Raw genomic sequence first — 23,503 nt, forward strand, 5'->3', positions numbered from 1 at the left:
GTGATCCTCCTGCCTCAGCCTCTCAAAGTGCTGGGACTAGAGGCATGAGCCACCACACCAGGCCACATTTTACATTTTAATTTTTAATTACACAGATAATTGTTGAATCAAGTTCCCTTTCTGAAAATAATAATTTTTCATATAAAGCTAAAGTCCTTTTTGTTCCCCTCTCTCCTCCCAGTCCTGATCTGCTCCTCACTCCACACAAGTAACTACTGTAGTATGTTTGTGTATGTCATTCCAGACCTCTTTTTTAATTTTTTTTTTTTTAAGAGACAGGGTCTTGCTCTGTTACCAAGGCTGGAATGGCATGATCAGGGCTCACTGCAGCCTCAACATTCTGGGCTCAAGTGATCCTCCCACCTCAGTCTCCTGAGTAGCTGAGATTACAGATGCACACCACCATGCCTGGCTTTGTTGTTGTTGTTGTTGTTGAGACAGGTTTCACTATGTTATTCAGGCTGGTCTTGAACTCCTGGCCTCAAGCAATACTCCCACCTCAGCTTCCCAAAGTGCTGGGATTACAGTCATGAGCCACCATGTCTGGCCTAGGCCTTTTTAAAGGTACACCTTTACCTATAATACCATGGGTATCCATAGAAAATATGTTTTTTGTTTTTTTTTTTGTTTTTGGAGATGGAGTTTTGCTCTTGTTGCCCAGGCTGGAGCGCAGCGGTGCCATCTCGGCTCACTGCAACCTCCACCTCCTGGGTTCAAGCGATTCTCCTGCCTCAGCCTCCTGAGTAGCTGGGATTAACAGGCACCACCACACCCGGCTAATTTTTGTATTTTTAGTAGAGATGGGGTTTCTCCATGTTGGCCAGGCTGGTCTCGAACTCGTGACCTCAGGTGATCCACGCGGCTCTGCCTCCCTAAGTGCTGGGATTACAGGCATGAGCCACCGTGCCTGACTGAAAATGTGGTATTTTTTTTTAAAACTATATCATGCTATATACTGCAACATGTCCGTTAAATTAACAATATGTTTTTGAGTTCTGTATTACTACACGTAGATTCATTTCATTGCTTTAACTGCTATATACTATTCCATGATAGAACACTACATTTTATTTTTCCACTGCTCTACTGGTGAACATTTCAGTCATCTCCAGTGTTTTGCAATTACAAACAAGTCACTATGAATGTTCCGGGACCTGTCTCCTGAGCACCCTTGGTTGCTTTTCCAGGGCAGGCCTGTTGTGGCCAGATGATGGCTGCATCTTCATGAGTTAGCAGTGAGGAAGCTCAGGGCAACTGCTGAGCTATAAGAAATTTCAGGTTTGTCTGTCTTTCAGCAGGTTGTAGATAAACATCCACATTTGGAAAACTGTGCGATTTTCCAAATAGAGCCAGGGAAGGAGGAAGACCCAGGCTTTCCACACTCTGGTGTCACGAGTCTGCCAGATGGACCCCTGGTCTCTTACAGGTGGGTTATTTCCTCTTCTCGTTCTCCATCCAGGTGAACCCAGCTGACGGCGAGAACTATGTCACCATGGTAGAGATGACATTTGTGTTCAGCATGATCTGGTCTGTGTGTGCCTCTGTGGATGAGGAGGGCCGGAAGAGGATCGACAGCTACCTCCGAGAGATCGAGGGCTCCTTTCCCAATAAGGTTGGGCGCACACCTGGCTGTCCTATTTGCCCTGTTTTTCCAGACCCCCTGGGCATCCCCCATCTCAGGCTCTGCTTGGGTTTCCCTCTCTCTTTCTTCCACCCGGTGGTCTGGGGCCCGTTCTCTGGGCTGGAGAAGGCTCAAGGAAGGCTTTGGTAACCTGACCTACATGCCCTCCTTAGGACACGGTATATGAGTATTTTGTGGACCCCAAAATACGGAGTTGGACATCATTTGAGGACAAGCTCCCTAAGAGTTGGCGCTACCCTCCAAAGTAAGAGCTGGGCCTGGGTGTGAGGAGGGCATGGGGCAGCGGTAGGTGGGGGATGTGGCAAGAGAGATGGGGCCTAGAAGCAAAAATGAGCAATAGGAAGGAGAAGGTGGGTCCCAGAGAAGGGCTGCCTCTTGAGGACAGGAAGCGGGACCTAGAGGGCTTGGGACAGGGTCTCTGAGGGGAGCACATGATCCCCAGGCCCCACAGGAGGGCAGGGTGCTGATGAGACAGTGGTGACGTAGAGGGAAAGGAAGTGGGAGTTGGAAAGGAGTGGGCGGCTGGTCCTTGAGAGCCGGCCCCTGCTCTTCCCTAGCGCCCCCTTCTATAAGATCATGGTGCCCACCGTCGACACTGTTCGCTACAACTACCTGGTGAGCAGCTTGGTGGCCAACCAGAATCCCATTCTGCTGGTGGGTCCCGTGGGGACTGGGAAGACCTCCATCGCCCAGAGCGTTCTGCAGTCCCTGCCCTCCAGCCAGTGGTCGGTGCTCGTTGTCAACATGTCCGCACAGGTGTGTCGGGGATCCAGGGGCCAGGCTGCCGGCTCCCTTGGGATCCAAGTGCCTGCCTGACCCTCCTCTCTAAGCCCGTATTTCTCTCAGGGGACCCACACATTCATTCGGTACCTTTTCACCAGACCACATCCAATAACGTGCAGAGCATCATTGAGAGCAGGGTTGAGAAGCGAACCAAGGGTGTCTACGTGCCATTCGGGGGCAAAAGCATGATCACCTTTATGGATGACCTAAATATGCCCGCTAAGGACATGTTTGGGTCCCAGCCACCCCTGGAGCTGATCCGCCTCTGGATTGACTATGGCTTCTGGTATGACCGTACGAAGCAGACCATCAAGTACATTCGAGTAAGCCTCGCTAGAGTCTGTTCTTCAGGCCTCTGCTCCTTCTGGGATAGGCTCAGTCCCCACTCCACTGGGGCCCCAGGCTATGGTCCTGTCATCTTGGATTCCTTCCCACACAGGAGCGTCCTTCTCCATGACAGCAGTTCTCGGCTCCCCACTCACGAGCCAGGCATCCTCCCTCAGTCCTGGCTCCTTCGTGGGATTCTGAGCATATTGTTTGCCTGCTTGCTTTTTCTTTCTTTCTTTTTCTTTCTTTCTTTCTTTCTTTCTTTCTTTCTTTCTTTCTTTCTTTCTTTCTTTCTTTCTTTCTTTCTTCTCTTTCTCTTTCTTTCTTTTTCTTTCTTCTCTTTCTTTCTCTTTCTTTCTTTCTTTTTTTCTTTCTTTCAGACAGCATCTTGCTATGTTGCCAAGGCTGGGGTGCCGGGTTAATTTTATGATTTTTAGTGGACACAAGGTCCCCATATGTTGGCCAGGCTGGTTTTGAACTCCTGGGCTCAAGAGATCCTCCCATCTTGGCCTCCCAAAGTGTTGGCATTACAGGCCTGAGCCATGCTCCCGGCTGCTTCTCTTTAATCAGCGGCCATCGCGGCCTGGCTCCTGGGGTTGTTTGTGTGTATATCTGGCACTCAGGGCCAAAAACTCGCCTAGTGCTATATTCATGTGTGTTTGAGAGAGAACATACACACACACGTGTATAGATAGGTACAATTTTAAAAGAAGAAAAAGAGAAAAAGAAGAAAGAGAAAGTCTAGAAGACACAAATGTTTTTTTACTTACCTGTATTTTCTCATTTGGGTACATGGATTATAAGGATGAAATACAGACAAATGCATTCCTGGTACTAAAATAAGTTTCCCATGTCCCTTCCTTCTCTTCCCCTCCCCCTGCCCTACCACTCCATGTTCCTCTCAACTCGCTGCATCCCGGTTCCTCTTCCCCTTTGTCCCTCCTCGCACTGTTTTCCTCCCACTCCTTTTCACCTGGCCTGTGTCGGCGCCTCTCTTGCCCTCTCCCCTCCTGCCTGTCTGCCCTCCTTGTCGCTGCTCTCTAGGAAATGTTCCTGATGGCTGCCATGGGCCCCCCTGGGGGTGGACGGACTGTCATCTCCCCAAGGCTACGGAGTCGCTTCAACATTATCAACATGACCTTCCCCACAGTGAGGACCTCATGGGGGCTGCAGGACGAGGGGAGGGTAGGAGGTGAAACGTGTCTGTCTCAGAGAAGCAGGGGCCAGATCCCAGGGGGCTGCGGCACCCCAAGTGGAGCTCCACGCAGGACGCTGGGACGATCCGTAAGGGCATGTGCTGGCTCCTGAGCTAGGAGAGCTACGGGTTGGAAGCGTACCTTCCTGGCTGTGGACAAGGAAGCCTTGTAGTCCCAATGGGCAGAGAACACAGTGAAGCCCAAGTAGACTAAGGAAGGTAGATCCTACAAAGCCCACGGCAGTGTCAGGATTAGAGCCAGGCCAGCAAGTCACTTGTCTCAGTGCAGAATTTAAGGGGGCACCCAAAAGACTCTGTAATCAGGAGAAATAATATGTTAACACTTCCTTTTTTTTTTTTTTTTTTTTGAGACAGGGTCTCACTCTGTTGCCCAGGCTGGAATGCAGTGGCATGATCTCAGCTCACTGCAACCTCCACTTCCCGGGTTCAAGTGATTCTCCTGCCTCAGCCTCCAGAGTAGCTGGGACTACAGGCGCCCGCCACCACGCCCAGCTAATTCTTGTATTTTCAATAGAGACAGAGTTTCGTCATGTTGCCCAGTCTGGTCTCAAACTCCTGGACTCCAGAGATCCACCAACCTCAGCCTCCCACCACACTTGGCCTCACTTTTTTTTTTCCTGTCTATGACATTTTATTGATCCTATGGAGTGGGAAGGAGAACTGGAGAAGTATGTGGGGCCAAGGGATCCCAGGGGAACAGGGAAGGTATTGAGGCTTGGCCACTAGTACTGGCGAGTCTGTAGTAATGCAATATTTTTTAAAATTAAAATTAATGCCAATAATTTATGATGAGCAAAATACCACCATTTTGAATAAATACAAAATCAGTAGAGTACAGTGCTAAGCCATATTGGAGCCTAAGGGGAAAGGAGAAATCAGTAATCCCCATCTGGTCTTTATTTTAAATGTTTGTGTTTGTTCCTCATGAATATTTTGCATTCATTTTTGTTTTTAAATACTGTGTTGGCCAGGCACGGTGGCTCCCAGCTGTAATCCCAGTACCTTAGTAGGCTGAGGCAGGTGGATCACTCGAGCCCAGGAGTTTGATATCAGCCTGAGCAACACGGGGAAACCCTGTCTCTACAAAAAAATACAAAAATTAGCCGGGTGTGGTGGTGCACACCTGTGTTCCCAGCTACTTGAGAGGCTGAGGTGGGAGGATTGCTTGAGCCCAGGAGGTCGAGCCTGCAGTGAACCATGATTGCACCATTGGACACCAGCTTGAATATATATATATATAATATTTATATATATATATTTATTTTATATACATATATATATAGTGTTAAGGCTGGGCGCAGTAGCTCTCGCCTGTAATCCCAGCACTTTGGGAGGCCAAAGCAGGTGGATCACCTGAGATTGGGAGTTTGAGATCAGCCTGACCACCATGGAGAAACCCTGTCTCTACTAAAAATACAAAAAATTAGCTGGGCGTGGTGGTGGACACCTGTAATCCCAGCTACTTGGGAGGATCAGGCAGAGAATTGCTTGAACCCGGGAGGCGGAAGTTGCAGTATAAATAAATAAATAAATAAATATAAATATGTATAAATATATAGTATATATATATATAGTGTTATATAATAGTATTTGTCAGTTGTCTTATTTCTGAGTTTAGGATTTTTTTTTTTTTTTTTTTTTTGAGACAGAGTTTCACTCATTGCCCAAGCTGGAGTGCAGTGGCACGATGTTGGCTCACCGCAACCTCCGCCTCCTGGGGTCAAGTGATTCTCCTGCCTCAGCCTCCCAAGTAGCTGGGATTAGAGGCATGTGCCACCACGCCCGGCTAATTTTATATTTTTTAGTAAAGACGGAGTTTCTCCATGTTGGTCAGGCTGGTCTCGAACTCCCGACCTCAAGTGATCTGCCCGCCTTGGCCTCCCAAAGTACTGGGATTACAGGCATGAGCCACCGTGCCCGGCCCTAGGATTTTTTTTGACACCCCCTTAAATTGTGCCCATGAGCCAAGCTCTTTATTGGCTTCCCCTCTGGCTAGAAGGCCAGCAGCCCTGGAGAGTGAGCCAGGGTCTGTTTCTAGAAGTCCCAGATCATCCGCATATTCGGCACCATGATCAATCAGAAGCTTCAGGACTTTGAGGAAGAGGTGAAGCCCATTGGGAACGTGGTGACAGAGGCCACCCTGGACATGTACAACACCGTGGTACAGCGCTTCCTGCCCACGCCCACCAAGATGCATTACCTCTTCAACCTTCGAGACATCTCCAAGGTGACTCGCGGCCTGACCTTGCCCCTTCTGCTTGGCCCAGCCTCCGCGGAGGCTTTCTCTTCTCAAACTAAGCCTTAACACTCACTAGCATGCGCACCAAAAGTCACCCCCATGCTGAAGTGCCACACTCCCTGGCCTTACCTTTAAAACTTCTGGGCCAAGTGCGGTGGCTCACACCTGTAATTCCAGCACTTTGGGAGGCCAACGCAGGCAGATCACCTGAGGTTAGGAGTTCAAGACCAGCCTGGCCAACATGGTGAAATCCTGTCTCTATTAAAAATACAAAAAAAAAAAAAAAAATTAGCTGGGCATGGTGGCACGCGCCTGTAGTCCCAGCTACATGGGAGGCTGAGGCAGGAGAATTGCTTGAACCTGGGAGGCAGAGGTTGCAGTGAGCTGAGATTGCACCACTGCAGTCCAGCCTTGGAGACAGAGTGAGACTCTGTCCCAAAAAAAAAAAAAAAAAAAACTTCTGGAGGGAATCTTTTTGCTCCCTGGTCCCAACAGTCAGTCCTCTTCCCAGGTGTTCCAGGGCATGCTTAGAGCCAACAAGGACTTCCATGATACCAAGTCCAGCATCACACGGCTCTGGATCCATGAATGTTTCAGGTGACATGCATGTGCCCTGGCCAAACGAAGGCTTCCTCAGCCTTGCTCCCACCCCTACTTTGTTCCCAGCCTGACACTGCCTTCCCCAGGCCATTCTCCTCTTTATTCCCCGATCTCACCCCAGTTCCCTGCCCACAGAGTCTTCTCTGACCGGCTGGTTGATGCGGCAGACACAGAAGCCTTCATGGGCATCATAAGCGACAAGCTCGGCTCCTTCTTTGACCTCACATTTCATCATCTCTGTCCCAGCAAGCGTCCTCCTATCTTTGGTGAGCCAGGAGCTGTGATGACCTTGGGCTTGACACTCTTAGAACATCGGGGCTAGAAGGAGTCAGGGCATGGGGTCTGAAGTGTGGAGCCCTGTGGGGGGAGGCAAACCAGGCATTTGTGACTCTGATCCCCTCTTCCCATGGCTCAGGGGATTTCCTGAAGGAGCCCAAGGTGTATGAAGACCTCACGGATCTGACAGTGCTGAAGACAGTCATGGAGACAGCTCTAAATGAGTATAACCTGTCACCCTCTGTCGTGCCCATGCAGCTAGTGCTCTTCCGAGAGGCTATTGAACACAGTGAGCACCTGCCACGCCTATCCCCTTCCCCATCATCTCAGTGATGGGGTATGTCTAAGGAAATAGGGGTCCCTTCCCAGGTCTCCCAAATCAAGTTCCAGAAGCTGCCTTTCTCCCTGGCCCCAGATGCCCTGTGGCAGTGTGTGTTTAACAGAGAAGGTGGAGGTTAAAAGTTGAATTGCCTCCTGGGCCTTGGGCACCAACTTCTTCTCATACCTCTTGGTTCCTCTGCTTCAGTTTCAGGGGCCCCAATCCCTAGCCTAGGGCCTGGAGGTCCCCTGAGTTTGCTCAGCCAACTCATTACCCTCACACCCACCCCACCCCCAGTCACACGGATCGTGCGGGTCATTGGACAGCCTCGGGGCAACATGCTCCTGGTGGGTATCGGGGGCAGCGGACGCCAGAGTCTGGCCCGCCTGGCTTCATCCATCTGCGACTACACCACCTTCCAGATCGAGGTCACCAAACATTATCGGAAGCAGGAGTTCCGAGATGGTACGGCTGGGTTTCTGAAATGCTAGGAATAAAAGATCAGATGCATACATTCCTGCAGTGACAAGAGAGGAGAGATGGCAGCCAGATGGGCAGACGTGTCTGGCCCGTGTTGGGTGTAGGATGGTGTCGCGTGTATGCTGCGGGGCGGGGAGGGTTCCTAAATCTCAGAAAAGGAATCAAGCCCAGGATGGGGAATCTGCAGTGAGTTTGTCCTCCTTCCCTCCCCCGGCCAGATATCAAGCGTCTGTATCGCCAGGCTGGGGTGGAGCTCAAGACCACGTCCTTCATTTTTGTGGACACCCAAATAGCTGATGAGTCCTTCCTAGAGGACATCAACAACATCCTCAGCTCAGGCGAGGTGCCCAATCTCTACAAGCCTGATGAATTTGAAGAGGTAGGATTCCTTCCACACCCTTGACCAGTCAGTTCTTTGGCCTGCCTAGCTGACCCCAGAAGGACCACAGCTCCCAGAATGTGCCACTGGCACACCCCCACTGCCACACCCCCACTGCCCACCTCAGCCCTGTAAGGTGGAAGGTCCCCTCCAGGGACCCTGGGCAGAGCTGCTTTAAAACCCACGCTTCAGAGCCAGGCACAGTGGCTTGAGCTTGTAGTTCCAGCTACTCGGGGGTGGGGGGTGCTGAAGTGGGAGGATGGTTTGAGGCCAGGAGTTCAAGTCCAGCCTGGGAAACACTTCGTCAGCCCCACCTGACCCGCTGCCCCCGCTGATTCTGCTATGGACACGCCAGCCCTCTGACCCTGGGTGGCTTCTGTCCAGATCCAGTCGCATATCATAGACCAGGCCCGGGTGGAGCAGGTGCCTGAGTCATCGGACAGCCTCTTCGCCTACCTCATTGAACGCGTGCAGAACAACCTGCACATCGTGCTCTGCCTCAGCCCCATGGGGGATCCCTTCAGGTGACTTCTGTGACATCCTTCTCTCAGCCCCTTCTGTGTGCTCCCTCACCCTGCTGTGGCCTCCTGTGCCTTCTGGAAATTAGTGTCAGGAATAACAGCAGGCTCCTCTGCCCGCCTCACCCATCTCCTTTCCTTAGGCTGTGCCTGATTTCAGGAAGTTCCTTTGGTGGACATGGGAGTCGTCCATCCTTTTTTGGCATAACTAGATTTTTGTTTGTTTGTTTTGGTGGGTGGCTTTTTGGTTTTGTTTTGTCATTGTAAATCTAATTGTGGTTAAAAACACACACACACAGGCCGGGCATAGTGGTTCACACCTGTAATCCCAACACTTTGGGAGGCCTAGGTGGGTGGATCACGAGATCAGGAGATCGAGACCATGCCGGCTAACATGGTGAAACCCCGTCTCTACTAAAAATACAAAAAATTAGCCAGGCATGGTGGCGGGGGCGCCTGTAGTCCCAGCTACTCAGGAGGATGAAGCAGGAGAATCGCTTGAACCCGGGAGGCAGAGGTTGCAGTGAGCCGAGATCACACCACTACACTCCAGCTTGGGTGACAGAGCGAGACTCTGTCTCAAAATACACACACACACACACACCCAAAATGTATCATCTTAATCGTTTCTGAGTGCAGTGCTCAGTCGTGTGAAGTACACTCACACTGTTGTGTAACAGCTCCAGAGCTTTCTCATGCTCCCGAGGCCGTACTCCATACCCATGAAACCATTGCTCCCCATTCCCTCCCCAGCTGCTGTCTCTTGAGTCTGACATCAGATGCCTCACATAGGTGGAACCATGCCGCACTTGTCTTTGTTTCTTTTTTTGTTTGAGACGGAGTCTCGCTGTGTTGCCCAGGCTGGAGTGCAGTGCTGTGATCTCGACTCACTGCAGCCTCTACCTCCCAGGTTCAAGTAATCTTCGTGCCTTAGCCTCCCAGTAGCTAGGATTACAGGTGCTCGCCACCATGTCCAGCTAATTTTTGTACTTTTAGTAGAGACAGGGTTTCACCATGTTGGTCTGGCTGATCTCAAACTCCTGACCTCAAGTGATCCACCCGCCTTGGCATCCCAAAGTGCTGGGATTACAGGCGTGAGCCACCGCGCCCAGCTACCATTTGTCTATCTGCGACTTGCTTATTTCACTTAGCGTATTGTCCTCAAGGTTCATCCATGTTGTAGCATGTGTCAGGATTTCCTTCTTTTTTTAAGGCTGAATAATATTATCTTGTATGTCTATACCACATTTTCTTGATATGACTAGATTTTTAAGGGAATTAGAAACTAGGAAGAGGGCGGAGAACTTGTGCAGGGAAGCAATTTGGATTACCTTAAAAATTTTTTTTTGTCTGGGCGCGGTGGCTCATGCCTGTTATCCCAGCACTTTGGGAGGCCGAGGCAGGTGGATCACAAGGTCAGGAGATCGAGACCATCCTGGCTAACACGGTGAAACCCCGTCTCTACTAAAAATACAAAAAAATTAGATGGGCATGGTGGCGGGCACCTGTAGTCCCAGCTACTCGGGAGGCTGAGGCAGGAGAATGGCGTGAACCTGGGAGGTGGAGCTTGCAGTGAGCCTAGATGGCGCTACTGCACTCCAGCCTGGGCGAGAGTGAAAGACTCCGTCTCAAAAAAAAAAAAAAATTTTTTTTTGAGACCGAGTCTTGCTCTGTTGCCCAGGCTGGAGTGCAGTGGTGCCATGTTGGCTCACTGCAACCTCCATCTCCCAGGCTCAAGTGATCCTCCTGCCTCAGCCTCTCCGGTAGCTGGGACTACAAGCGCATGCCACCACGGCCAGCTAATTTTCGTACTTTTTGTAGAGATGGGGTTTCGCCATGTTGCCTAGGATGGTTTCGAACACGTGGGCTCAAGGAAGCCACCTGCCTTGGCCTCCCAAAGTGCTGGGATTACAGGCACAAACTCCAGTGCCCGGCCTACCATTTTGTTTTTAATGTTTGTGATACACGGTGTACTTACCATAGCCAGGCGCTACGCTGAGCTTTTCACGTGTGACACCTCACTGAATCCCCCAACCATCCTAGTCAGCATGTATTATTATTCCCATTTTAGAGACGAGGAAACTGGCATTCAAAGAGCTTAGATACTTGCTGGAGATCCACACCTCGAAAGTGTAGAACCAGGTTTTTCTGATGCCAGAAGCTGTTTCTAAATGCTCTGCTGAACTAGCTCTGCAGGAACAGAATTTGGACAAGGAGATACAGGAGCAAGGGGATGGGGCATTTTAGGTTCTTAGAAAGTGAGTGGATGCGTGTTGGGAAGCCAGTACCTGGAGGCTGTGTCTGTGCACGGAATTTACAGCCTCTCCAAACCCCTTCCCAGGAACTGGATCCGCCAGTACCCAGCCTTGGTGAACTGCACAACCATCAACTGGTTCTCAGAGTGGCCCCAAGAGGCCCTGCTCGAGGTGGCTGAGAAGTGCCTCATAGGAGTAGACCTGGGAACTCAGGAGAATGTGAGCCCCTCCTCCCCACCTCTCATTGCATCCCTGGCCTCCCTCTCCCCCGCCTCTCATCTCTCATCGCACCCCCGGCCTCTCTCCTTCCCGCCTCTCATCGCACTCCCAGCCTCTCTCCCACTTCCGTTTCCATCTGCCTTTTCATCCTGTGTCACTGGCCTCAGATCCACAGGAAGGTGGCCCAGATCTTTGTCACTATGCACTGGTCAGTAGCTCAGTATTCCCAGAAGATGCTGTTGGAACTGCGGAGACACAACTATGTCACACCCACCAAATACCTGGAACTCCTGTCTGGATATAAGAAGTATGAAGGGGGGCAGGGGATGTGCAGGGCCAGGGAGGCTGGTGTCTTCTGAGGGCGATGGGTGAAATGATGCTGATGTGCAAGGGCAGAGACACAAAGGCCACAGTTCTGCCCAGGAAGTTGGGAAGAGGGAGTTGGGGCTTCCCGTGGGAGGGGCTGTCTCCAGAGCCTTCTGGCTATGTCCCCCTCAGCCGCTCTCCACACCCTCTTGGCCCTTATTTTCTGGCATGAAGTTTCTCTGTCTTTTTCTGACCATAATATAACTGGAACATTGCCATAATATACCCAGTCCTTTCCTGTCTGCCTTTAATGTCTTCTAGACTTTCTACCTGTATGAGATAGAAAAAGCAAAGTGTTTTCCCTACTCTCTCACTCAACACAGTACAGTCCCTCAGCATCCGTGGGGGATTGGTTCCAGGACCTCCCACGGATACCAAAATCCACAGATGCTCCAGTCCCTGATATAGAATGGAGTATCTGCATGTAACTTATGCACGTTCCTCCCATATACTTTGAATCCTCTCTAGATGAGTTATAATACCTAATACAATGTAAATGCTATGTAAATAGTTGTTATACTGTATTGTTTAGGGAATAATGACAAGAAGAAAAAGTCTGTACATGTTCAGTGCAGATGCAAATTTTTTTGCAATTTTTTTTTTTTTAGACGGAGTCTCGCTCTGTTGCCCAGGCTGGAGTGCAGTGGCGCAGTCTTGGCTCACTGCAACCTCTGCCTCCCGGGTTCAAGTGACTCTCCTGCCTCAGCCTACCTAGTAGCTGGGATTACAGGCACGCGCCACCATGCCCAGCTATTTTTTTTTTTTTTTGTATTTTTAGTAGAGACAGGGTTTCACCATGTTGGCCAGGCTGTTCTTGAACTCCTGACCTCAGGTGATCCTCCGGCCTTGGCCTCCCAAAGTGCTGGGATTACAGGCATGAGCCACCGTGCCCAGACTTTTTTCAAATATTTTTGATCCTCTGTTGGTTGAATCCACGGATGTGGATACGGAAGGCTGGCTGTACTTCACTTCTGACACCAGATGTGGTGGGGATTTTCCCCACCCAAGCAGTTCTCCAGGGGACACTGGCTGGGTGTCCTATGATATAACTCAAGTCTGAAATGGTCTACCTGGAGTTAGAGTCAGATCGCACAGGTGGAGGGCTCAGTCCCACAATACACCCGCCGCTTCTGATGCTAACCGAAAGCCCAGTGTTTTACCTGTGTTTCTGCCTGGCCGGTTATAAATCAAGGGTTCCCACCACCCCCTTGTCAGGTTCAGTTAATTTGCTAGAGTGGCTCACAGAACTCAGGAAACACTTCACCTACTATTGCTGATTTATTGCAAAGGATATTTTAAAAGATACAAATAAGGCTGGGCACGGTGACTCACGCCTGTAATCCCAGCACTTTGGGAGGCCAAGGTGGGCCGATCACTTGAGGTCAGGAGTTCAAGAACAGCCTGGCCAACATGGTGAAACCCTGTCTCTACAAAAATACAAAAATTAGCCAGGCATGATGGCGGGTGCCTGTAATGCCAGCTACTGGGGAGGCTGAGGCGGGAGAATCATTTGAACCCGGGAGGTGGAGGTTGCAGTGAGCTGAGATTGCATCATTGCACTCCAGCCTGGGTGACAGATCGAGACTCCGTCTCAAAAAAAAAAATCAGAAATTGTGGGGCAGGTGCAGTGGCTCATGCCTGTAATCCCAGCACGTTGGGAGGCTGAGGTGGGAGGATCACTTGAGGTCAGGAGTTTGAGACCAGCCTGGGCAAAATAACAAGACGCCATCTCTACAAAAAAAGAAAGAGAGAGAGAGAGCAATAAATTGTTGCAATACTGGGCCCACATTCATTCCCATAGGGAAAAAAAACCAGGCTGGAGCTGAGGGACGGCTGCCTGCCCTGGGCCAGCCCACCTGCCTGTTCCACAGTGGGAAACAGAGGAAGATTCTCATGTAGGGGAGGTGGTGTGATGGAGACTGTTTAACAAGCTGATTCTGGTAGTGGTGTGTAGAACAAACCAGAGGAATGAGAGCCTGAAATCAAGAAGAGCCCTTGGGAAGCTGTTGGCAATGACCCAGGCAGGAAGTGATAGAATCCCGACCAGGATGGTGGGGGTAGTGTTGGTGGCAACAGAAAGGAAGGCGGACTCGAGACACACGGGGAAGGTGGACCTTACAGGACACCGCGCTTTCCGGAAGCCCCGCCTCTCCACACCCTGTCCTATTCTTTCCCCCAGGTTGCTGGGAGAAAAACGGCAGGAGCTGCTGGCCCAAGCCAATAAACTGCGGACAGGCTTGTTCAAGATCGACGAAACTAGGGAAAAGGTGCAAGTGATGTCGTTGGAGCTGGAGGATGCCAAGAAGAAGGTGGCTGAGTTCCAGAAGCAGTGTGAGGAGTACCTGGTCATCATTGTGCAGCAGAAGCGGGAGGCAGATGAGCAGCAGAAGGTCCAGGGCCCACGCCCACCCCCCGTGCCCCACTCCCACCAGTGCCGGCTACTGCGTCAGGGAACCCATGTTCCCCCCTTCTTAAATTTTCTTTAGTGACTGGGTGCAGTGGCTCACGCCTGTAATCCCAGCACTTTGGGAGGCTGAGGCAGGAGGATCACCTGAGGTCAGGAGTTCGAGACCAACTTGGCCAACATGGTGAAACCCTGTCTCTACTAAAAATACAAAGATTAGCTGGGCGTGGTGGCGGGTGCCTGTAATCCCAGCTACTCGGGAGGCTGAGGCAGGAGAATCGCTTAAACCCTGGGGGCGGAGGTTGCAGTGAACTGAGATTGCACCACTGCACTCCAGCCTGGGCGAAAGAGCTAGACTCCATCTCAAAAAAAAAAAAAAATTCTTTAGCTTTCTCTTTCATCTTTTCCACCAACACCGTCACTCCCACCTTTGCCCAAGGCAAAGACAAAAAACCCTTGTCCTTTTTTCATCCCTAGGCCGTAACAGCCAACAGTGAAAAGATTGCAGTTGAGGAAATCAAGTGTCAGGCACTGGCTGACAATGCCCAGAAAGATCTAGAAGAGGCACTGCCCGCCCTGGAAGAGGCCATGCGGGTACCAGGGGCGGGTGCAAGGATGGGAGCCAGGAACGCGAGGCCCCGGGGAAGGGAATGGGCCAGTCTTCTTTGTCCTCAAAGACTCTGGGGAAGTGGGAAGAAGAGGTGGCACCTCAGCTAGGTTCTGTCTCCAGAAGGTCCTGTCTTACCCTCACTTTATCCCCTTTTCCCCCAGGCCCTGGAGTCTCTGAACAAGAAGGATATAGGAGAGATCAAGTCTTATGGACGGCCCCCAGCCCAAGTGGAGATAGTGATGCAGGCAGTTATGATTCTTCGAGGCAACGAGCCCACATGGGCAGAGGCCAAGAGGCAGCTAGGTAAGCTAGAGACAATGAAATCAATGACTTCCACTCACCCAGTGTTTATTGATCGTCGGCTGTGCAGCAGACACTCAGAAAGATAGGGATGGATGAGGCATTGTTCTTACCCTCAAGAGCACAGGGCCTAGTAGAAAGGAGACCGCATGAATATCAGTTAAGGTTCTTTGGTTGTGGGTCGAGTGTGGTGGTTCATGCCTGTAAACCCAAGCTTTGGGAGGGCAAGGTGGGCAGATCACTTGAGCCCAGGAGTTTGAGACCAGCCTGGGCAACATGACGAAAACCCATCTCTACAAAAAAAAATGCAAAAATTAGCTGGGCATGATGGTGCATGCCTGTAGTCCCAGCTACTTGGGAGGCTGAGGCAGGAGGATCGTTTAAACCTGGAAGGCTGAGGCTGCAGTGAGCCGAGATTGCGCCATTGCACTCCAGCCTGGGAGACAGAGCCAGACCCTGTCTCCAAAGAAAAAAAAAGATTATTTAGTTGTTACTGGTATTTTCTGACTTTTTACAAAGTTACCTATTTCTTTTCACTAAAAAGAGAAAAAGAAAAAACTACATTTCTGATTGCTTTTATAATTATTAAATATGAAATTTTTAAAAAGATTATTTGGTTGTAAGTAACAGAAAACAGCTCATCTTAATACTGACATTCAGCTTACAATGGTTTGACTTAAGATTTTTCGTCTTTACAATGGTACCCATACAATCATTCTGTTTTTCACTTTCAGTACAGTGTTCAATACATTACATGAGATATTCAACACTTTGTTATAAAATAGACTTTGTGTTAGATGATTTTGCCCAACTGTAGGCTTAATGTAAGTGCTCTGAGCACGTCTAAGTTAGGCTGGGATGAATTATGACATTCAGTAGGTTAGATGCATTAAATGCATTTTTGATTTACCATATTTTCAATGTATGATGGGCTTATCGGGAGCATCTGTATATTAACCAAAATTGTCCTAAAGATAGAAGAATGGGCCAGGCACGGTGGCTCACGCCTGTAATCCCAGCACTTTGGGAGGCTGAGGCAGGTGGATCACGAGGTCAGGAGATCGAGACCATCCTGGCTAACACGGTGAAACCCTGTCTCTACTACAAAATACAAAAAAATTAGCCGGGTGTGGTGGCAGGCACCTGTAGTCCCAGCTACTCGGGAGGCTGAGGCAGGAGAATGGTGTGAATCTGGGAGGCGGAGCTTGCAGTGAGCCGAGATTGCACCTCTGCACTCCAGCCTGGGCAACAGAGCGACACTCCATCTCAAAAAAAAAAAAAAAAAAAAAAAAGATAGAAGAATGTATTGCTGCATCCAAGGGCAGGAATGCCCTCAGGCCCCCAGAGGGGAACAAGAATCAGAAAATGGGAACCGGGACTCTGTGTTCCATTCTTGTGGTTTACTCTGCTCTGGGTTCCCATAGTAGAATACAGCCTGCCAGTCTCGGTTTGGTGATCCCTGCCCTAGAAGAAAGTGCAAAGCAGAGAGAAAAAAAGTGAAGTGTAGGGTGGCTTGGCTGAGTGTTCAAGGTAAGTGATGAGAGAGGAGCTGGGAAGATTGTCGAGGACCTTGGGGACTGAGAGGTGCCCAGAGACAGAGTCAAGTCAGAGGGAGGAACTAGGGGCCAGGTCAGATAATTTGGCCTTAGGAACTGAGCCCAGGAAAAATGTGGCTATGCGTGAGTAGTGGAGGTGAAACTGCTGGACAAGGAGGATGGCATTAAGCCTCTGGCTAAGGCCCCTAATTTTCATCCCACAGGGGAACAGAACTTCATCAAGTCACTGATCAACTTTGATAAAGACAATATCTCAGATAAGGTTCTGAAGAAGATTGGGGCCTACTGCGCCCAGCCTGACTTCCAGCCTGATATCATCGGCCGCGTCTCCCTGGCTGCCAAGTCCCTCTGCATGTGGGTGCGGGCCATGGAGGTAAAGGCGTCAGGGCTGGGGCGGGGCGGTAGGGAGGGCAGGCCTGGGGGAGTGCGGATGCACAGACCCAGGTGGAAGGAGGGGATGCCTGGAGGTGAGGGGGTTGGTGGGTTGGTGGGCGACTCCCACAGCCTGACTGTCTCCCCACAGCTGTATGGGCGGCTATATCGGGTGGTGGAGCCCAAGCGAATCCGAATGAACGCTGCCTTGGCTCAGCTTCGGGAGAAGCAAGCCGCGCTCGCTGAGGCCCAGGAGAAGCTGCGGGAGGTGAGCTGATCGCCTGTCCTTTCCACGGAGGTCCCTCTCCCTGAGTTCTGGATTGCTTCATTAAGCATTTGTTTTCCCCCATCTAATTCTAGCCCCCTTCCCCATGTCCTGTGCCATTCCAGTCCTGTCTCCTTCCCACTCTGTGCCCTGTTTAGACTGGGCTGCCTCTGGCTCAGAAAGCTAAGTCAATTGCAGAGGGTTATAAAGGCTCAAAGGCACTGCGACCCAGGAGCCCTTCCAAAGATTGACTTGGGAGCTGGCAATCTCTGTCACACCCTTCGGAGATGGCGCCTGAGATATTAACTGATGACATCTGCGTGGCAAATTGGTCTTTGCCAGAGGGATGGGTCAAGAGTGTCTGTGTCGCTTCTGTGGACCAAGAACAACGTGAGGGTGTCTGTGCATATGTTGTGTGGGGACGGGCTCTCCCAGAGGCCAAGTGGGTTAGTTACCGTGAGGAGTCTGGGCAACCCAGGCGATCTCCTGCAAGATGCATGCATGAGGCTGGGCGCCACGGCTCATGCCTGTAATCCCAGCACTTTGGGAGGCCGAGGTAGGTGGACCACCTGAGGTCATGAGTTCAAGACTAGCCTGGCCAACATGGTGAAACCCTATCTCTACTAAAAATACAAAAATTAGCCGGGCATGGTGGCAGGCACCTGTAATCCCAGCTACTCAGGAGGCTGAGGCATGAGAATCGCTTGAACCCAGGAGGTGGAGGTTGCAGTGAGCCAAGTTCACACCACTGCAATGCAGCCTGGCGACAGAGTGAGACTGTCTCAGAAAAAAAAAAAAAAAAGATGCATGCATAAGTGACTCCTGAACCAGGCAGAATGATGGGCAAGTGCCATTATCAAAAAAATTCAAAATTCTTCCAGTTTATCATTTGATTTTTTAAATGATTGATTTAATAGGTGATACTACTCTGTCCCCAAGGTAATACAGTTACATGGTTTGAAGTGTGAAAGGTACAAAGGAGTATCCAATAAGAAGTTTCCCCTCGCCCACCTTCTGTTCTCTAGTCACCAGCTTTCCTCTCTGAAAGCAGCCGATATTACTGTCACCCAGGCTGGAGTGCAGTGGCGCAATCTCAGCTCACTGCAACCTCCACCTCCTGGGTTCAAGAGATTCTCCTGCCTCAGCCTCCTGAGTAGCTGGGACTACAGGTGCCCGCCACCACGCCCGGCTGATTTTTGTATTTTTAGTAGAGACGGGGTTTTGCCATGTTGGCCAGGCTGGTCTCAAACTCCTGACCTCAGGTGATCTGCCAGCCTCAGCCTCTCAAAGTGCTGGGATTACAGGCATGAGCCACTGCCCCCAGCCTGCACCTTACTATCTTATTTACCTGTGAGTTGAAGATTGTTCCTTATCAGTATGTAAAGAGCCTCTGCTTTCTTTTTACCACTGCATGATATTCCAGTGGGTAGCTACAGGGACACCATCATTTATTTAACTGTTCCCCATTTGAGGGAGACACTGTTTCCAATCTTTGGATCTTTGCTTGCCCTGTAACTTTGTTGGTGCTATCTTCATATAGAAATTTAAAATATTTATATAATTGAAGCTGGCCATACAATTTCAAACTGTTTTACCTAAAACCAACTTTGGAAAACATCCAGGTTCGACCTCCACAGATCAGATGAGGAGCCTGAGGCTAGGGAGATCAAGGGCTCACTGGCTCGTCACCGTCAGAGCTGGGCTAGATCCTGTGTTTCCTGACTTCACGCCTCTCTGCCCACAGCTCATCCCCGTTTTTTTCCTGCTGTAGGCATCTTTACTGTCAAAAGCTAAGCTGCCCACGAGGCCTCTTCTGTGCAGGGAACTCACCCAGGTTGGGTGAACGGGGCTTCTCTCTGCACCTCTGCACCTGCTCCTCCACGGCTCCGTCCCTGCTACCACCGCCACCTCCCAACCTCTCACAAAACTTTGCTCTTTTACTCTGTCTTTTCCCAAGAGCGAAGAATCACAGGTGTGGCAATCTGTTTGGAAAGGGTTTTCACCTAGATGAATCATATCCTGGGCTAAATAATTAGGAGTGGTTCCTCATATGTGAAAAATGGGACCTCTGGGGTGCACTGCCAACAACATCATTCATCAAACAAGCATTTATAGTGCACCCAGTGTTAGGTATTTTGGTGGAGGGTCCACACCCACACTTGAGAACCCCTAAGTGAAAAGAGAAAGCAGACAGGGAACAAACATTTCTCCTTTTTTACGGACAAAGCCTGTGACGTTTATGAGCCAAATGCACCTTAAAAAAAAAAAAAAAGCAGCAGCAGCATTTATGTGTTTATTTTTAGAGATGGGGTCTTGCTGTGTTGCCCAGGCTGGTCTTGGTCTTGAATTCCCATCTCAGTCTTACAAGTTGTTGGGATTACAGGTGTGAGCCACCGTGCCCCGAAATGTACCTTCCTTTCCTTCCTTCCCTCCCTCCCTTCCTTCCTTCCTTCCTTTTCTTCTTTCTTTTCTTTCTTTTTTTTCTTTTTTTTTTTTTTGAGACAGGATCTCACTCTGTCGCCCAGACTGGAATGCAGTGGCGCAATCACGACTCACTGCAGCCTTGACTTCCTGGGCTCTGGTGATCCTCCCACCCAAGCCTCCTGAGTAGCTGGGCCTACAGGCACACTCCACTATTCCTGGCTAATTTTTTATATTTTTTGTAGAGACGGGGTTTCACCATGTTGCCCAGTCTGGTCTTGAACTCGTGGGCTCAAGTGATCCTCCTGCCTTGGCCTCCCAAGTTGCTAGGATTACAAGGGTGAGCCACCCCACCTGGCCCAAATATACCCTTTTTGTTTTGTTTTGTTTCGTTTTGTTTTTGAGAGAGAGTCTCGCTCTATCACCCAGGCTGGAGCACGGTGGTGCGATCCCAGCTCGCTGTAACTTCTGCCTCCCAGATTCAAGTGATTCTCCTGCCTCAGCCTCCCGAGTAGCTGGGATTACAGGCGTCTGCCACCACGCCCGGCTAATTTTTGTATTTTTAGTAGAGATGGGGTTTCACCACGTTGGCCAGGCTGGTCTTGAACTTCTTACCTCAAGTGATCTGCCCGTCTCGGCCTCCCAAAGTGCTGGGATTACAGGTGTGAGCCACCGCGCCTGCCCCCAAATGTACCTTTTAATACAACTTCACAACTAGGCACTGTGCCCTGGGCCCTGCCAGGCCAATTAAGTAAGAATCCCTGGCAGAGCCTAAGAATCAGCATTTTAAAAGCTTTCCTGTCAGAACCTACCAGAGATGGGAAAGCTTATGCATGGTACTGAGGCTCAGGTCTGAAAAGAGGCTCAGAGCCCAACTACATTGCAGATCAGAACAAATTTTGAGTAAATAGCTTTAGCCATTACTCACTTGTCAGCTAGTTCTGATATACAACAAGGGTTACAAACCAGTGGCGTAGATAGGGCCCCAGAAGGCTCTGAAATGGGTCAGAACAGAATCTTAATATACTTTAAGGCGACTGTATCCCCAAGTCTGAACATTCCCATTTTTTCCCATTTTGCATTCCAAATTATGTCTTAATCTACTTTAGGGCAACTATATCCCTAAGGTTGAACATTCAGATTTTTTTCCCATTTTGCATTCCAAATTATGTCTAGTCACATTGTCCAACATAACATATCAGAGGCCATTTAGTTCAATTAAATGACAGCATTAAAACGCTCCAATAATAACAATATACAGAAATTCCACAAATTTGAATATAACCCCTAGGGAGAAATTAAATTTCAAAGATTAAATAAATCCCTTTGCAAACTAAAGTCCAAAGAAATGGAAATTCGACATCAACTAATCTTGCCTTTGTGAGTTAAAAATCTAGACTTCAACCTTCTGAAGTTAAAGTCCCCAAGTCATCCTCCCCAACTTCCTGTTCTGCTCCATCTCAGCTGAGGGGTTATCTCAGTTCATTTGGGCTCCTATAACAAAATACTGGGTAATTTATAAATAACAGAAATTGATATCTTACAGTTCCGAAGGCTGGAAAGTCTAAAATCAAGGTGCAAGTACATTCAATGTCTGGTAGGGTCAGTTCCTCATGGATGACGCTTATGTGTGTCTTCACATAACAGAAGGGACAAACAAGCTTTCTTGGGCTTCTTTTACTAGGGCACTAATCCCATTCCTGAGGGCCCTACCCCCGTGACCTAATCACCTCCCAGATGCCCCACCTCCCAACACCACTCCACTGGAGATTAAGTTTGAAAATGAATTTGAGTGAGACATGACATTTGGACCGTAGCAGGGTGGGGGTTCTCTGGGTAGATCAGTTTTCTTAACCTGGGCTGTTTCTCCCTGGAAAAGGATGTTGTTCCTCAGGACCTCAGAGGCTGTATTAAGTTCAGAATGAAGTCTCTCGTGAGCATTATTTGAGATTAAAATAGAACTCAAGGGTCTTAATAAGGCATACACAACTTGCAGATAAAATTACGTTGCCAAAAAACTGGTTATTACCATTGCCAAAGACCGTAGAAGAAACCCAATAGCATTTGAGGTAATGAGGATACACAGAGAAAATCTTGGTTTTAGCTTTACCAAAATGTCAGTTATCTGGAACCATGACTTGTGCACTTAAATTTAACTAGGAGAAATCTTTAGCAATAGATTAATATAAGAGATACAATCTAACCAATAAGCATTTACTGGATCGGGGGTTATAAATCCACACATATGTATACATTCTTTTCTTAGGGGGTTGATCGTGGTAAAATACATATAAAATATATCATTATAACCATTTTGAAGTGCACCATTCAGGCTGGGCTTGGTGGCTCATGCCTGTGATCCTAGCTCTTTGGGAGGCAGGGGCCGGGGGATTGCTTGAGCCTAGAAGTTGGAGATCAGCCTGGGCAACATAGAGAGACTTTGTGTCCACAAAATATAAAAAAATCAGCCAGACACAGTGGCGCACACCTGTAGTTCCAGCTACTTGGAAGGCTGAGGTGGGAGGATCACTTGAGCCCAGAAGGTTGAGGGTGCAGTGAGCTATGATTATGCCACTGTCCTCCAGCCTGGGCAACAGAGCAAAATCCTGCCTCAAAAAATAAAGATAAAAATAAAGCCAGGTGCGGTGGCTCACGCCTGGAATCCCAGCACTCTGGGAGGCCGAGGTGTGCGGATCACCCAAGGTCAGGAGTTTGAGACCAGCCTGGCCAACATGGTGAAACCCTGTCTCTACTAAAAATACCAAAAAAAAAAAAAAAAAAAAAAAAAAAAAGCTGGGCGTGGTGGTGGGCACCTGTAATCCTAGCTACTAGGGAGGCTGAGGCAGGAGAATCACTTGAACCCGGGAGGCGGGGTTTGCAGTGAGCTGAGAAGCTGAGACTGAATGATTGCACTCCAGCCTGAGTGACAAGAGTGAGACTCTGTGTCAAAAAAAAAAAAAGCCTAAAATGGATACACCAGGCAACAGCAGTAAGACTACTTGTATATGTATAGAATACCTCTGGAAGGAGAGTCAAGGAACAGGTAACACTGGCTGCCTCTAAAGAAGGAACCTGGCTGAGTGGGGAACAGGGTTAGGAGGAAGATCTTTCATATCCTCATGCCCTTAGGCCTTTTGAATTTTTGATAGCTATTAAAAAATTCACAAAGTAAAATTTAAAGGAACGAGAAATAGCAGTGTGAAGACGTGCTTATGCCTGTATACGAATTTCTCTTTTTTTCTTTTGTAGGTTTTTTTTTTTGGTGGGGGGCATAGAGACAGGGTCTTGCTGTGCTGCTACGGTCTCAAACTTCTGGCCTCAAGCAATCCTCCCGCCTCTGCCTCCCAGAGTGCTGGGATTACAGGTGTGAGCCACCATGCCTGGCCTTGTACAAGGATATTTATTACAGCGTTGTTAATAGCAGAATGTTGGAAAAACACAAATGTGTATCCGTAGGAGACTTGTTACATAAATCATAGTTCAGTCTCACATAAGAGTATTTTGCAGCTACTAAAAAGAATGAGGCAGCTCACAAGAACTGATTTGGAAACAAGTAAAAAAAATAGTGAAGTACAAACAGTATTATAGCATATAACCACTGATTAAAAATTCATTTATTCTGGCCAGGCCCAGTGGCTCATGCCTGTAATTCCAGCACTTTGGGAGGTTGACGCGGGTGGATGACTGGAGGTCAGGAGTTCGAGACCAGCCTGGCCAACATGTTGAAACACTGTCTCTACTAGAAATACAAAAATTAGCCAGGCATGGTGGTGCACACCTGTAATCCCAGCTACTCGGAAGGCTGAGGCAGGAGAATCGCTTGAACCCAGGAGGTGGAGGTTGCAGTGAGCCAAGATGGCGCCACTGCACTCCAGCCTGGGCGACAGTGTGAGACTCTGTCTCAAAAAAAAAAAAAAAAATTATTTATTCAAAAAAATATGTGAGTGCTGGGCATT

General features: G+C 49.2%; 1 protein-coding gene across 10 annotated transcripts in view; it reads left to right on the forward strand.

Annotated features, from left to right (window-relative positions):
• Positions 1-23,503, forward strand: part of DNAH2 (dynein axonemal heavy chain 2) — a 115,999-nt gene that overhangs the window by 72,714 nt on the left and 19,782 nt on the right. For 9 of the 10 annotated variants that reach the window (NM_020877.5, XM_047435424.1, XM_011523667.3 and 6 more), the window contains 19 exons: positions 1,460-1,612; positions 1,795-1,886; positions 2,200-2,398; positions 2,524-2,748; positions 3,797-3,901; positions 6,007-6,195; positions 6,719-6,804; positions 6,943-7,073; positions 7,223-7,372; positions 7,700-7,867; positions 8,101-8,261; positions 8,646-8,785; positions 11,121-11,253; positions 11,421-11,560; positions 13,799-14,009; positions 14,501-14,617; positions 14,795-14,936; positions 16,693-16,862; positions 17,013-17,129. In NM_020877.5, coding sequence (NP_065928.2) covers positions 1,460-1,612; positions 1,795-1,886; positions 2,200-2,398; positions 2,524-2,748; positions 3,797-3,901; positions 6,007-6,195; positions 6,719-6,804; positions 6,943-7,073; positions 7,223-7,372; positions 7,700-7,867; positions 8,101-8,261; positions 8,646-8,785; positions 11,121-11,253; positions 11,421-11,560; positions 13,799-14,009; positions 14,501-14,617; positions 14,795-14,936; positions 16,693-16,862; positions 17,013-17,129 — 2,829 coding nt within the window. The remainder of the gene's footprint in view (positions 1-1,459; positions 1,613-1,794; positions 1,887-2,199; positions 2,399-2,523; positions 2,749-3,796; positions 3,902-6,006; positions 6,196-6,718; positions 6,805-6,942; positions 7,074-7,222; positions 7,373-7,699; positions 7,868-8,100; positions 8,262-8,645; positions 8,786-11,120; positions 11,254-11,420; positions 11,561-13,798; positions 14,010-14,500; positions 14,618-14,794; positions 14,937-16,692; positions 16,863-17,012; positions 17,130-23,503) is intronic. The other variant, XM_047435425.1, reaches the window with a different exon arrangement.

Source organism: Homo sapiens, chromosome 17, assembly GCF_000001405.40.
Source record: "Homo sapiens chromosome 17, GRCh38.p14 Primary Assembly".
Classification (NCBI taxonomy): domain Eukaryota; kingdom Metazoa; phylum Chordata; class Mammalia; order Primates; family Hominidae; genus Homo; species Homo sapiens.